This window comes from Homo sapiens, chromosome 16 (genome assembly GCF_000001405.40).
Source record: "Homo sapiens chromosome 16, GRCh38.p14 Primary Assembly".
Taxonomy (NCBI): domain Eukaryota; kingdom Metazoa; phylum Chordata; class Mammalia; order Primates; family Hominidae; genus Homo; species Homo sapiens.
Window position 1 is genome coordinate 29,900,106 of NC_000016.10, and position 13,931 is coordinate 29,914,036.

Here is a 13,931-nt window from a genome sequence, read left to right on the forward strand (position 1 = left end):
CCCTCGCCCCGCCGGGGCGGGCCCGGCCCGACGCCGCCCGCGATTGGCTGAGGCCGCTTTCGGTGTTTGCCAGGCTCGCGGGCTCCCGGGCTGCCTAGGGCCAGCGGGAGTCACAGGCCGACCGACCGACGGACCAGCCGCCCGACGGACTGGCCTCAGCATCCTTGCCCGCAGTCCCGGGCGCCTGCCCAGCCGTCAGTCCGCGCTCGCCCCGCCCCTCAGGCCCCGCCCCTCAGGCCCCGCCCGATACGACCCGCCCCTTCTTTCGCATTGCGGGACGGCTGGAGGCTGGCACCGTGGCCCCTGCGCCCCACGTGGCGCCCTTTCCGGGCGGGGGGGGTGGGGAGGCACCTCCAGCGACAACTCTCCCCCCTCCCCCGGCACCCGGCTGATTTGCTGTGCCACTGGGAGGGTTCGGGGGTGGCTGAGCTGAGAGGGCTCCGGGAAGGAGTGACGTCAGGGTGAGTGGGAGCCCAGGAAGGAGCGAGTAGGAGAGAGGGAGCGAGAGCCAGGCAGGACCGCAGGGTCGGGGCTAGTGAGGAGCGAGGGCAAGGAGAGAGCAGTGAGGCCGGAGAGAAAGAAGCTGCCGCGGAGGAAGACAGGCTGCGGGTTCCCGGGACTGCAGGTCCAGGCAGGGTAGGAACCGCTGCCCAGGGGAGCTAGGAGGAAGCGGGGAGAGAGAGCGAGCGAAAAGCGGGGGTGGGGAGGAAAGGGGGAGATTGAGGTGGGAGAGAGAAGCAGAGCGAGAGAGAGGAGGCTGCTGGAAGGAGAAAGAAGAGGGTGAGGAGGCGACAGAGGGAGAGGAGGAAGAAGAGGTAGAAGGAGAGAGAAAGGGGAGAGAAAGGAGAGAGGAGGGTTGGAGGTGCATGAAGGAGGGGAGAGGGAGCTTCAGCGTGGAGAGAGGACCGCGGAAGGAGAGAGAGACAGCCCAGAGTGGAATGTGGAAGGGAAACAGTCCAGCGGGGAGCCAGGGGGCAGCCATGGAAGGGACAGGTGGGGAGCTGGGGGGACAGGGGAACTGGGGTCCGGAGGACGCCCCAGGCCTCTTGGCCAGGGCCTCCCTGATCATGCTCCCGTGGCCACTACCCCTGGCCTCCTCGGCCCTCACCTTGCTCTTCGGGGCCCTCACTTCCCTGTTCCTCTGGTACTGCTACCGCCTGGGCTCCCAAGACATGCAGGCCCTAGGGGCTGGGAGCCGAGCTGGGGGTGTTCGTGGTGGGCCTGTGGGATGCTCGGAGGCCGGCGGGCCAAGCCCAGGGGGTCCTGGGGATCCCGGGGAAGGACCTAGGACGGAAGGCCTAGTGAGCCGGCGGCTTCGGGCCTACGCAAGGCGCTACTCCTGGGCTGGGATGGGTAGAGTGAGGCGGGCAGCTCAGGGTGGCCCAGGCCCTGGGAGAGGGCCAGGGGTCCTAGGTATTCAGCGCCCAGGCCTGCTTTTCCTACCAGACCTGCCTTCAGCCCCCTTTGTGCCGCGGGACGCCCAGCGGCACGACGTGGAGCTCCTGGAGAGCAGCTTCCCTGCCATTTTGCGGGACTTCGGGGCTGTGAGCTGGGACTTCTCAGGGACTACCCCTCCGCCTCGGGGCTGGTCCCCACCTCTGGCCCCCGGGTGCTACCAGCTCCTGCTGTACCAAGCAGGCCGGTGCCAACCCAGCAACTGCCGCCGGTGCCCGGGGGCCTATCGGGCACTGAGGGGGCTTCGAAGCTTTATGAGTGCCAACACCTTCGGCAATGCCGGCTTTTCCGTTCTCCTGCCTGGGGCCCGGCTCGAGGGCCGCTGTGGGCCCACCAATGCCCGGGTCAGATGCCATCTGGGTAAGTAGCTGCCGCCTACTGACAACCTCCTTGCCTCGATGATTTCCCCCCCAGACCCTTCTCTCCGCCAGAGCCGTCTGCTGTCTGGTTCTCATTGTGCCTCTCTTCTTCCATGGCTCCCTGTTGCCACCCACAGCAGCATTTCCTCAGCCTCGGTTATCTGCACACCACCTTCATAAGCTTTGCCGTGGTCATTCCCATCTGTACTGCGTTTCTTCACCTTGGCTCTCCCCCCGACCTTTTGTTCTACGTATTTAAAAGAAATATTTATAGCACTATCAGTATTACTTGCCCTAAATAGTACTCATAAAAAGCCTGGACAACACAGTGAGACCTTGTCTCTACAAATAATAAAACAATTAGCCGGGCGCGGTGGCCCATGCCTATGGTCCCAGCTACTGGAGAGGGTGAGGTGGGAGGTTCACTGGAGCTCAGCAGTTTGAGGCTGCAGTGAGCTGAGATTGTGCTACTGCACTCCAGCCTGGGTGACAAGAAAGTACTCATAAACACAAGCTGAAATTTAAAAAAGAAAGCTTTCAACAGTCTAGAACATTCTAGTTAAGTGCTCTAGTCTCTCTGATCCTGAAGCCTACACTTTTTTCTTTTTTGAGGAGTCTCGCTCTGTCGCCCAGGCGAGAGTGCAGTGGCACGATCTTGGCTCACTGCAAGCTCCACCTCCCGGGTTCATACCATTCTCCTGCCTCAGCCTCCCGAGTATCTGGGACTACAGGCACCTGCCACTACACCTGGCTAATTTTTTTTTATTTTGTATTTTTAGTGAAGACAGGGTTTCACCATGTTAGCCAGGATGGTCTCCATCTCCTGACCTCGTGATCAATCCGCCTCGGCCTCCCAAAGTGCTGGGATTACAGGCATGAGCCACCGTGCCTAGCCCTACACCTTCTTTTTTAAAAGGGTTGGTGGGGTGTCAAAGTTACAGTAGCACCAAACTGAGATTTTTTCTTTTTCTTTTTTTTTTTTTTTTGAGACAGGGTCTCACTCTGTCACCCAGGCTGGAGTGCAGTGGCACAAACATGGCTCACTACAGCCTTAACCTCCTGAGATCAAAGGATCCTCTCACCTCAGCCTCCTGAGTAGCTGGGACCACAGGTGCCCACCACCATGCTTGGCTGATTTTTTAAAAATTTACGTAGGCCAGGCGCGGTGGCTCACGCCTGTAATCCCAGCACTTTGGGAGGCTGAGGCAGGCGGATCACCTGAGGCTGGGAGTTCGAGACCAGCTGACCAACATGGAGAAATCCTGTCTCTACTAAAATTACAGAAAATTAGCTGGGTGTGGTGTCGCATGCCTGTAATCCCAGCTACTCGGGAGGCCGAGGCAGGAGAATCACTTGAACTCGGGAGGCGGAGGTTGCAGTGAGCCGAGATCACAACATTGCACTCCAGCCTGGGCAACAAGAGCGAAACTTCATCTCAAAAACAAGAAAAAAAAATTGTGTAAAGACAGGCTGGACCTGAACTCCTGAACTCAAGTGATCCTCCTGCCTTGGCCTCCCAAAGTGCTGAGATTACAGGCGTGAGCCACCGCACCTGGCACTTTTTGATGTCTTAAAGACTGGAAGAAAATGGAAAAGGAAATAATTTTCTGTTATTCCATGCCATGACCTTGTTTTGCCCCCAATCATCTCCTGTGCTGCCAGCTGGATGTGTCCTACACTTCAGGGCACACTAGCCTCAGGATCAGTTCCCAATCCTTCCTCTCTTCCCTCTCTCTGTGCTCTAAATCATGAAAACCTTCTGGCCAATCCTGACAGATGCCACATGTGCTGTTCTTTTCAACCTAGAATCCCCTTCCCCCGTACCACCTCCTGAAAAACTCCTACTCAGCCTTCAGTACTCAAGTTTTCAAGTGCCACACTTCCTCTGGGTTGGCTTCCTGTTCCCCCATCAGTTGAGTTGGCTGCTCACTTTCCTCACAGCACTCAGCCATGTGGTCCTTGGGCCAGGAACGTCTTTAATCTTATACCTCTCAGTGAGACAGCGCCTATCACACAGTAAGCTCTTGAGTCAAACTGTCGAAAGCCCAGGAGGAAAAGCCATTTCCTCCAGGAAGCCTTCTCTTTTCTCGAAATGAGAGGTTGCTGCCAGGTGCCGTGGCTCATCCCTGAAATACCAGCACTTTGGGAGGCCAAAGCAGGAGGATTGCTTGAGGCCAGGAGTTCAAGACCAGCACTGTCTGTATAAGAATAAAATAAAATAAAATAAAATAAAATAACGGGTCTGGCCAGGTGCAGTGGCTCACACCTGTAATCCCAGCATTTTGGGAGGCTGAGGTAGGCAGATCACTTGAGCTCAGGGGTTCGAGACCAGCCTGGCCAACATGGCGAAACCCCATCTCTACTAAAAATACAAAAATTAGCCAGGCGTGGTGGCAGGCAGCTGTAATCCTAGCTACTCGGGAGGCTGAGGCAGGAGAATTGCTTGAACCTGGGAGGCGGAGGTTGCAGTGAGCCAAGATCATGCCACTGCACTCCAACCTGGCGACAGAGCAAGACTACATCTCAAAAAAAAAAACAAAACAAAAAATTAACCCTGCATTGTAGCACATGCCTGTAATCCCAGCAGCTACTCAGGAGGCTGAGACACGAGAATCACTTGAACCTGGGAAGCAGAGTGAGCTGAGATCACACCACTCCACTCCAGCCTGGGTGAGAGAGTGAGACTTTGTCTCAAAAAAAAAAAAAAAAAAAAGATGGGTCACACTACCCACAGCAGCGTTTCCCTAATCTCCTAGCACTTCCCTCCTCCAGGACTGTATTGTAATTATACTGTGGCCACTTTCTGGAAAGAAAGGAGGATGACCACAAAACCTGGCATTTAAGACACTTAGAGCTAGTTGCTAATTGACTGGCCAGGATGGGCCCCTGGGATGGAGGCAGGAGTGCTGGATGCCCGCGTCTCTTCTTACAGGCCTAAAGATCCCTCCTGGCTGTGAGCTGGTGGTCGGCGGTGAGCCCCAGTGCTGGGCTGAGGGGCACTGTCTACTGGTGGACGACTCTTTTCTACACACAGTGGCTCACAATGGTAACGGGGTGCCCATTCTGCAGGGGGGATGAGGGACTCAGGAGCAAAGGAGCGTTGACTAGAAGGCAGCAGAATCAGGCCCAACGGACTTCCTGTCCTACCACCACCATCTTCCAGCTGCATGACCTTGAACAAGCCGCATAACTTCTCCAATGCCCTAGGACCACCACCTTCTTCATCAAGTAACTGCAAGGATTAAATGAGATAATATTACGTACACAGAAAAGCGGTTACCAGCACAGGACTCTGGGTTCCTGTCCTACCTCTTGCACTTGGGCAAAGGACTTAACCTCCTTATGCCTCTGTTGCTTTGTATAAAATAGGGATAATTATGGTAATACCACAGTTTGTTTTGATGATTAAGAGTTGATACATATCGGCCGGGCATGGTGGCTCACGCCTGTAATCCCAGCACTTTGGGAGGCTGAGGTGGGCGGATCACCTGAGGCCAGGAGTTCGAGACCAGCCTGGCCAACATGGTGAAACCCCGTCTCTATTAAACATACAAAGAAATTACCCAGGTGTGGTGATGAGCACCTGAAATCCCAGCTACTAGGGAGACTGAGGCAGGAGAATTGCTTGAACCTGGGAGGCCAAGGTTGCAGTGAGCCGAAATTGCGCCACTGCACTCCAGCCTGGTGACAGAGCAAGACTCCATCTCAGGAAAAAAAAAAAAAAAAAAAAAAAAGATTTGATACATTTAAAGGGTTAGAACAAGGCCTGCCACTTATTTACTGTTTGCTTTTATGGTGTTTGGTGAGTGCTCTGGTGTGCAAGTACCTAATGTCAGTGGCTCTGCTGTTCCTGTCCCATGTGCCCTAGGCTCCCCCGAAGATGGGCCTCGAGTGGTCTTCATCGTGGACCTCTGGCACCCCAACGTGGCAGGGGCTGAGCGCCAGGCCCTCGACTTTGTCTTCGCCCCAGACCCTTGAAGGAAGGTGCTCCCTTCACACACCCAGGCTGGAGAGACACTGCGCTCAGGGACGGCTTGATGGTAGCCAGGACCTCCTCTCTACTGCGGGGGTGGGCGGGGGCGGAGGATGGGAACTGGCTAGTGAGCACTGAAATATAAATTCTGAATCCTCTCCTAACTCCCGACTACTTCCTTCGCAGGGAGAGGCTGGGGCAGGGCCTTATGTCTTCTCCTAGTACAACCAAACAGGTACCTCCTTTTTTTTCTTTCTTTTTTTTTTTTTTTTGTAGAGTCAGGGTCTTGCTTTGTTGCCCAGGCTGGTCTTGAACTCCTGGGCTCAAGTGATCCTTCTGCCTCAACCTCCTGAGTAGTTGGGATTACACGTGTGAGCCACCACGCCCGGCCAGATACCTCCTAACACAGGCATCTCCCCGTCCCTCTCCCCAGGAGCCAGCACCAGTTTCTCAACTTAACTTTATTTCAATAATTTAATAGAAAATTAAAATAATAAATAATATGAAACAGACTGATAACGCTGAGCTGGGCAGGCCCAGGCCAGTCTAGTACAAAGTTAAGGAGGTAGGGAGGATGGTGGGGAGGAGGGGGCGGACTACCCTGCAGGACGCGGGAGGCTGCTCAGACTGTGGTGATGTCAGGAAGGGCCGCACACTTTGGCATGGACGATGCACTAAAAAAAGAGAAAGGGAATTCTAAATCCCTCTTAACCAGCTGGAGAGGGAAGGACGCAGGGCCAGGGTGGGGACAAGTGTTGGCTTCGGAAGGCTCTGAGTGGTGGGGCCGGAATGTACCATGTTGTTAGCAATGGGGTTGGGATGGGTGGAGAAGGGCCAAAGTGAGCTGTGCCATGCAATGAAGGGACAGAGGAGGACCCACGACTTGGCCAGCAGAGCCGGGGCAAAAGTCTGGGAAGGGGAGGGAAAGAGAGAGGGACTGGGTCCCAAGGCAAGAGGAAGGCAGGGGGAGGGTCAGAGGTCAGTCCTTGAAGACAATTTGTTGGCCATGAGGACGCTCGTCGTGGGTGATATGGCGCCGGACATGGATCCTGCGGACACGGTGCTCTCGGTTCTCTTCATCCTCCCCGCGGCCAGCCCCACCAGCTCCAGCTGCTCCCCCTGTGGCCTCCAGGAGGGCTGGGTCTGGGCCCCGGGGAGTCTCGTAGATGAGGATGTTCAGGGTCTCCTCGAAGATCCGGGCCTCTGGAAATTCCACCTGCAAAAGGCCAGCCGGCCCCAGCTCCTTCCTTCTGGTGCAGTCACGCAGGGCCATCCCCCTGCCTAGGGCCCCTGCACCAACACACCTCCTAGCCCTGCAGTCAGGTCCTTGGGCCTGGCCTGGCCTCTCTGCCACTCCTTTACTCAGCAAAGTCATACTTCAAGGCTCAGCTCTGAAGTCAGGCAGGCAGAATTATTTGTTTTCTCTCCTTCATCTCCTTCCCTGCCTAGCCTCTTGGTATATTTTTTCATTTGACAAATACTGAGTGAGTGCACTGCACCAGGTATTGTTCTAGGCACTGCAAAAATAGCAGTGAACAAAACAAGAGTTCTGTCCTCAGGAGGTTACATTCTAGTGGGAGGACTCAGTCATACACTTAAGAAAATATAAACTAGCCTGGCGCAGTGACTCAGGCCTGTAATCCCAGCACTTTGGGAGGCCAAGGTGGGAGGACAGCTTGAGGCCAGGAGTTTGAGTCTAGTCTGGGCAACATGGTGTAACCCCATCTCTACCAAAAATACAAAAAATTAGCTAGGTGTGGTGGCCCACACCTGTGTTCCCAGCTACTCGGGAGACTGAGGTGGGAGGATCACCTGAGCATGGGAGGTGGAGGTTGCAGTGAGCCAAGATTGTACCACTGCACTCCAACCTGGGTGACAGTGAGACCCCATCTCAAAATAAATAAATAAATAAATAAAATAAAATATAAATGCAGTCAAATGATGATGTTTAGGAAACGATATAAGCTGGGTGTGGTGTCTCCTGACTGTAATCCCAGCACATTGGGAGGCTAAGGCAGGAACATCGTTAGAGCCCAGGAGTTCAAGTTCAAAGCCAGCCTGGGCAATGTAGCAAGACCTCATCTATTAAAAAAAAAAAAAGAGAGAGAGAGAGAAAGAGATACATCAGGAAAAGAGATACATCAGGAAAAGGGGATGTGATAGCCAGAGCCAGGAGTGTTACAACTTTAAGAAGGACTCCAGGGAAGGCCTCACTGAGAAGGTGATATTTGACCAAAGGAGTGGGGGAGGGGACAAGGCACACAGAGCAGAAAGAGCAGCCTGGGGAGGGCCAGGGCCAGCGTGAGAGCTGTGGGTCAGGAGTGCACCCAGTGTCTTACTGGAAGATCAAAAGGGAGGCCAATGCAATTGAGGCAGAGATGAGAGGGAATGGAAAGGGATGAAGTCGAAGAGGTGACTGGGGTGTTCCCTTGTGTGGCCTTGGAAGCATCTAACACAGCTCTTAGCAAACTGTTTTTTTAATTTTTTATTTTTATTTTTTATTTTTTCCTGAGACAGAGTCTTGCTCTGTCACCCAGGCTGGAGCGCAATGGCACAATCTCAGCTCACTGCAACCTCCACTTCCCAAGTTCAAGCGATTTTCCTGCTTCAACCTCCCGGAGTAGCTGGGATTACAGGCATGTGCCATTATGCCCAGCTAATTTTTGGATTTTTAGTAGAGACAGGGTTTCACCATGTTGTACAGGCTGGTCTCGAACTCCTGACCTCGTGATCTGCCCGCCTCAGCCTCCCAAAGTGCTGGGATTACAGGTGTGAGCCACCATGCCCGGCCTTTTTTTTTTTTTTTTAATCGTTGTTTGTTTGTTTCTAAGACAAGATCTCACTCTGTTGCCTAGGCTGGAGTGCAGTGGTGTGATCATGTATCCCTGCAGCCTCAACCTCCCGGGCTCAAGTGATCCTCCCACCTCAGCTTCCTGAGTACCTGGGTGTACCACTATGTCCAGTTAATTTTTTTTTATTTTTTGTAGAGATGGGGTCTTGCTGTGTTGCCCAGGCTGGCCTCAAACTCCTGGCCTTAATGGTCCCCTGCCTCAGCCTCCTAAAGTATTGGGATTACAGGTGTGAGCCATGCACTCTAATTATTGGTTTATCTTCCTATCTTCCCAATCAGAGGATGTTTCTTGGAAGCTGGGTCACTGATTCATTCATTCATTCATTCAATAAATGTTTCCTAGCTTCCACTGTGTGAAAAGGGCCCAGCTAATGGGAGATAGGAAAGAAAAAGACATGGCCCTGCCCTCAAGGAACTAACACCTCGCTGCTGATGCAAACCCCCTCCCCTCCACCACACATGATAAAACACTGTCTTTAGCTATGAAGGGAGTGTGACCAACTTTGGGGTTGCTGGATTGAAAGTTCATGAGTGAAGGTGACCCAAAGAAAGTGATGCTTAGCTTGAGTCTTAAGATTAAGTACAAGTTCATTAGGCAGATAGAAGGAAAGAATTCCAAGAGGCAACAGTGTGTGCAGAGGTAAGAGGTAAGAAATAGCACTGAGTGCTTAGAGACTTGTGATGACTGTGGTGTACCTGAGGCATGTGGCTCATAGTAAGCTCGGAAGGGACCAGATGAGGAAGGGCTTGTATTTTGCTCAGCACTTCATTCCCCTTGATTTCCAGCCCGGTACAGTACTTAGCACAGAGCAGGGGCTTGGGGAATATCTTGATGATTGCCACATTAATGACTCAGGATCTACAAACTCAGAGGATGTTCTAAGAGACATCTGATTCTGAGGTTTTAAGAATCTATTTTTGGCAATGGGCCTTTCTGAGTTTCCCTTTTTTTTTTTTTTAATTAGAGTTAGGGCTCACTCTGTCTCCTAGGATGGAGTGCAGTGGCATGATCATAGCTCCCTGCTGCCTCAAATTCCTGGGCTAGGGCGGGCCCGGTGGCTCACACCTATAATCCAAGCACTTTGGGAGGCCGAGGAGGGCAGATCACTTGAGGTCAGGGGTTCAATACCAGCCTGACCAACATGGCGAAGTCTCTACTAAAGAGACTTCTCTACTACATTTAGTCTCTACTAAAAAATACAAAAATTAGCCGGGCATGGAGGCGGGTGCCTGTAGTGCCAGCTACTTGGGAGGCTGAGGCAGGAGAATCACTTGAATCTGGGAGGCAGAGGTTAAGTGAGCTGAGATCACACCATTGCACTGCAGCTTGGGCAACAGAGTGAGACTCTGTCTAAAAAAAAAAAAAAAAAAATAGGCTGGGGGCAGTGGCTCACGCTTGTAATCCCAGCACTTTGGGAGGCTGAGGTGGGTGGATCACGAGGTCAAGAGATTGAGACCATCCTGGCCAACATGGTGAAACCCCGTTTCTACTAAAAATACAAAAATTAGCTGGGCATGGTGGCACGTGCCTGTAGTCCTAGCTACTGGGGAGGCTGAGGCAGAAGAATCGCTTGAACCTGGGAGGTAGAGGTTGCGGTGAGCGGAGATTGTGCCACTGCACTACAGCCTGGTGACACAACGAGACTCCATCTCAAATAATAATAATAATAATAATAAATAAATAAATTACTGGGCTCAAGCAATCCTCCTGCCTTAGCTTCCTGAGTAGCTGGGATTACAGGTGCATGCCATCATGTCACCAAGCCACCACACCTGGCTAAATTTTTTGACTTCTTACAGAGATCAGGTCCCACGATGTTGCCCAGGCTGGTCTCGAACTCCTGGGCTCAAGTGATCCTCCTGCCTTGGCCTCCCAGAGTCCTGGGGTTACAGGCGTAAGCCACTATGCCTCACCCCTTCTGAGTTTCTAATGGCAACTATGGACCCCCTATACAGAAAAATGCATACACCCCCATTTCAGGAGTTGCAAACAGCCTTGAAACCCATCCAACAGGCCTAGGCTAAGCACCCTGCTCTAACCCGTGACCCCCATTTCACAGAGAAACAGAGACCCACAGGGATAGGGTGGCTTGCCCACTGTTGTGCACCCCAGACCCCAGGATCTGGCTCCTGCCTCCTGGTGGTGGGCTCCTTCCCCTGCCAACCTGCTTTTGTCCAGGGTCCTGGTCCTGGCCACCCCCAGCCCCCAACATAGGCTCTGGAGCCCCTCTGACCTTGGTCTGCTTCTTCTCCGTAGCATAGACAATGGAGGTGCAGCACACCTCGGCGATTTTGCGGCCCTGCCCGTAGAAAGACCAGCAGCAGATCTCGTCCCCCAGGACATCCTTGAGGAAGAGTAGCCGCCCGTGGAAGCGCAGGGCCAGCTTGTCGAACAGCTCGATGTTCTTAAGTAGGTTGTCATCTGAAGTGCTGGGGACCAGGGGACCAGGAGGCCTCAGCGCAGTTGGCACCCCTCCCTCTGTACCCCCAGAAGACGGGCCTGGATGCATTCCCAGTCCTCTGCTCCTGCCCAGGGCTTTGGTGCTCAACAGAGAGCCTCCTCCACCCCTGGGGCCAGGCTAAACGGGTCTCAGAAGGGAAGCCACATGCGCTGAGCAAATCCCAGCACAGCACAGCACAGCAGCTCCAGTGAGGGACCGGGAGCCAGGCCACCTCCCCGGGGGTCCTGGTGTCCCCATTTTTTAACTGGGTGACACTAGGCAAGTTACTTCACCTCTTGGTGTCCCGACCTCCTCATCTGTAAAATGGAGCTCACAACAGTACTGACCTCAAGGGGGAGGACTCTGCCAGTTCCTAGAATGAGAGCACTTGGGATAGGCTCGCCACTATCACTTTGTCCTCACCCAAACCCATTTACTGATGACTGAGCTGAAGCTGAGAAGCAGAAAGGACCTGCCTAGAGCGTCAGGGGTAAGAGGCGAAGCCGAATCTGCGAGCAGGCACAGATGTTCTTGTAGGCCCCCCGTGTGGCCGTGGCCCTCGCCTTGGGCAGAAGCAGGGCTGTGCTGCATCCCAGGGTCCCGCCCAGTGCCCCGCACCCCGGCGGTCACCTGGTGTAGGAGTACTTGTTGTTACTGCGGTTGTGCAGGAGCTTCACCACGGGCTGGCGGGGGAGAGAGGATGGACGAGAGGGGTGAGGCTGCAGGGAGAGGCCCCCCCAGTGAGCCTCCACCCTGCAGGGCTTGGGGGCCTCACCTTGGAGGTGCTGGCCAGGAGCTGCTGCTCCTCCCGGGGAGATGTCACCATGGGGATGAGGCACAGCGGGGACAGCGTCTCCCTTTTTTGCTGGGGAAGAAGCGGAAGGTGGTTAACAGCACAACCAAAGGCCACGTACTCCCCCACTTAAAAGCCTTCAAAAGCTGGTTGGGAACAACTCCAGACTCCTCAGTGGTCCGCAGGGCTCTGCAGGCTCCAAGCTCCGCCAGCCTCTCTGCCACTCTCCCTTTGCTTGCTGGGCCTTGGTCCCACGGACACCTTGCTGCTTCACACATCCAGCTTGTGCCTGCCCCGGCCACTGGCTGTGCCCCTGCCCGGGATGCTTCTTTGCTCAGCTGTCAGCGTGGCGTGTCCGTCATGCCATTCAGATCGCAGGTCACACAGTGCCTCCTCAGGGCCAGCCCTCCCCAGCCCCCCTGGCTAAAACAGCCTCCTCTACATCCTGCCTTTTGTGTTATCAGTTTTCTTTTTCTTTTTTTGAGACAGAGTTTCGCTTGTTGCCCAGGCTGGAGTGCAATGGCGCCATCTCGGCTCACTGCAACCTCCACCTCCCGGGTTAAAGCAATTCTCCTGCCTCAGCCTCCTGAGTAGCTGGGATTACAGGCATGTGCCACCACACCCAGCTAATTTTGTATTTTTAGTAGAGACGAGGTTTCTCCATGTTGGTCAGGCTGGTCATGAACTCCCGAACTCAGGTGATCAGCCCGCCTCAGCCTCCCAAAGTGCTGGGATTACAGGCGTGAGCCACTGCACCAGGCCTATCAGTTCATTTTCTACACAGCAGTTAGTGTCTGACTTTTTCTAACTTTTTGTATTTGTTTATGATCTGTCTCTTCCCACCTAGGAATAACTACCTAGTATACAGCTGATGCTCTGTATTTGTTGAATGAATGAACATATTTGTTGAGTGAATGAACTTCATTGGGTGGGATGACGTTGGAGAAAGAAATCTGAAGCAAACCCATGGGCTTCTTTCTCTTCTGTCTTCTAGAATCTTCATGCCAAAATCCCTCTCACTTCTCCCAACCTTGAAAACTCAATGCGCAATTCTAATACAAATTCCAGATTTGTTTTTTGCAGAAACTCATAAGACTCTCTAAAATTAACAGAGAATAATAAAAGTCTACAATTACTGAGGCCATTTTTTTTTTTTTTTTTTTTTTGAGACAGGGTCTTGCTGTCATCCAGGCTGAGTGCAGTGGCATGACCACAGCTTACAGCAGCCTTGACCTCCTGGGCTCAAGCCATCCTCCCAAACTTAGGTCAGTTTTTAAAAATAAGAGCAAAGAGGAAAGGCCGACCCTGCCAGATATTAAGATAGGCTGCAAAGCCACAACAGTGAGAACGGTATCAGTTCGGGCACAGAAACAAAAATACCTGAGAAACACAACAGAGCGATCAGAAACAGACCACTGTGTATATGAGAATTGGTATTTTTAAAAAGACACCACAAATGTGCGAGGGGAATTACGGAGTATGAATTCGTTATCTATCACTGTGTAACAAACTGCCCCCAATTTAGGAGCTTAAATTAACAATATTTATTACTTCTGTTTCTGAGGGTCAGGATCTCAGCAGTGGCTCGGCTGGGTGGCTCCGGCACAGGGTCTCTTCTGAGGCTGTGGCCAAGATGTCAGTGGGGCTGTGGGCATCAAAGGCATGACCGCCCCTAGAGGATGCACTCTGAGAAAGCTTGTTCATGTGGCTGGCAAGTTCGCACTAGCTGCTGGCAGGAAACAACAAATCCCTGCCATGTAGATCTCTCCACAGGGTTGCTTGAGTATCCTCGCAGCATGGCAACTGGCTTCTCCAGAGCAAATAATTCCAGAGAGGGCAAGGTGGAAGCCTCATTGTCTTTTTTATTTTTGAGATGGAGTCTCACTGTGTCGCCCAGGCTGGAGTGCAGTGGCGTAATATCGGCTCACTGCAACCTCCGCCTCCCAGGTTCAAGTGATTTTCCTGCCTCAACCACCCAAGTAGCTGGGATTACCGAGGTGTGCCATCACGCCCAGCTAATTTTTGTATTTTTAGTAGAGACAGGGTTTCACCATGTTGG

General features: G+C 53.2%; 2 protein-coding genes across 9 annotated transcripts in view, besides 2 other annotated features; one reads left to right on the forward strand and one right to left on the reverse strand.

The window, feature by feature from the left end:
- Positions 1-430: a silencer, noted in NCBI's record as "silent region_7343". NCBI's record gives its function as "represses an Ori minimal core promoter by ATAC-STARR-seq in GM12878 lymphoblastoid cells {active_cell/tissue: GM12878}" and the evidence as "EXISTENCE:reporter gene assay evidence [ECO:0000049][PMID:35858748]".
- The window catches only part of ASPHD1 (aspartate beta-hydroxylase domain containing 1), a 19,502-nt gene continuing 5,828 nt past the window's right edge, over positions 258-13,931 (forward strand). Inside the window, exons 1-4 of one of the 4 annotated variants that reach the window (XM_017023107.2) lie at positions 258-993; positions 1,447-1,815; positions 4,747-4,860; positions 5,683-5,951. In XM_017023107.2, coding sequence (XP_016878596.1) covers positions 867-993; positions 1,447-1,815; positions 4,747-4,860; positions 5,683-5,792 — 720 coding nt within the window. In that variant the 5' untranslated portion in view covers positions 258-866 and the 3' untranslated portion in view covers positions 5,793-5,951. Of the gene's footprint in view, positions 1,816-4,746; positions 4,861-5,682; positions 5,952-5,973; positions 6,023-13,931 lie in introns of those variants that run through there. The other 3 variants (XR_007064865.1, XR_007064864.1, NM_181718.4) reach the window with 3 other exon arrangements.
- Positions 1,404-2,108: an enhancer, noted in NCBI's record as "H3K27ac-H3K4me1 hESC enhancer chr16:29912830-29913534 (GRCh37/hg19 assembly coordinates)". NCBI's record gives its function as "activates a minimal SCP1, AML or CMV promoter by ChIP-STARR-seq in naive and primed H9 embryonic stem cells {active_cell/tissue: H9 hESC(naive and primed)}" and the evidence as "EXISTENCE:reporter gene assay evidence [ECO:0000049][PMID:30033119]".
- Positions 6,234-13,931, reverse strand: part of KCTD13 (potassium channel tetramerization domain containing 13) — a 19,888-nt gene continuing 12,190 nt past the window's right edge. For 2 of the 5 annotated variants that reach the window (NM_178863.5, XM_011545783.4), the window contains exons 3-6: positions 11,855-11,944; positions 11,710-11,762; positions 10,873-11,068; positions 6,234-7,003 (exon numbers count right to left, since the gene is read on the reverse strand). In NM_178863.5, the coding sequence (NP_849194.1) occupies positions 6,767-7,003; positions 10,873-11,068; positions 11,710-11,762; positions 11,855-11,944 (576 nt within the window). In that variant the 3' untranslated portion in view covers positions 6,234-6,766. Of the gene's footprint in view, positions 7,004-10,872; positions 11,453-11,555; positions 11,763-11,854; positions 11,945-13,931 lie in introns of those variants that run through there. The other 3 variants (XR_007064863.1, XR_950767.3, NR_110933.2) reach the window with 2 other exon arrangements.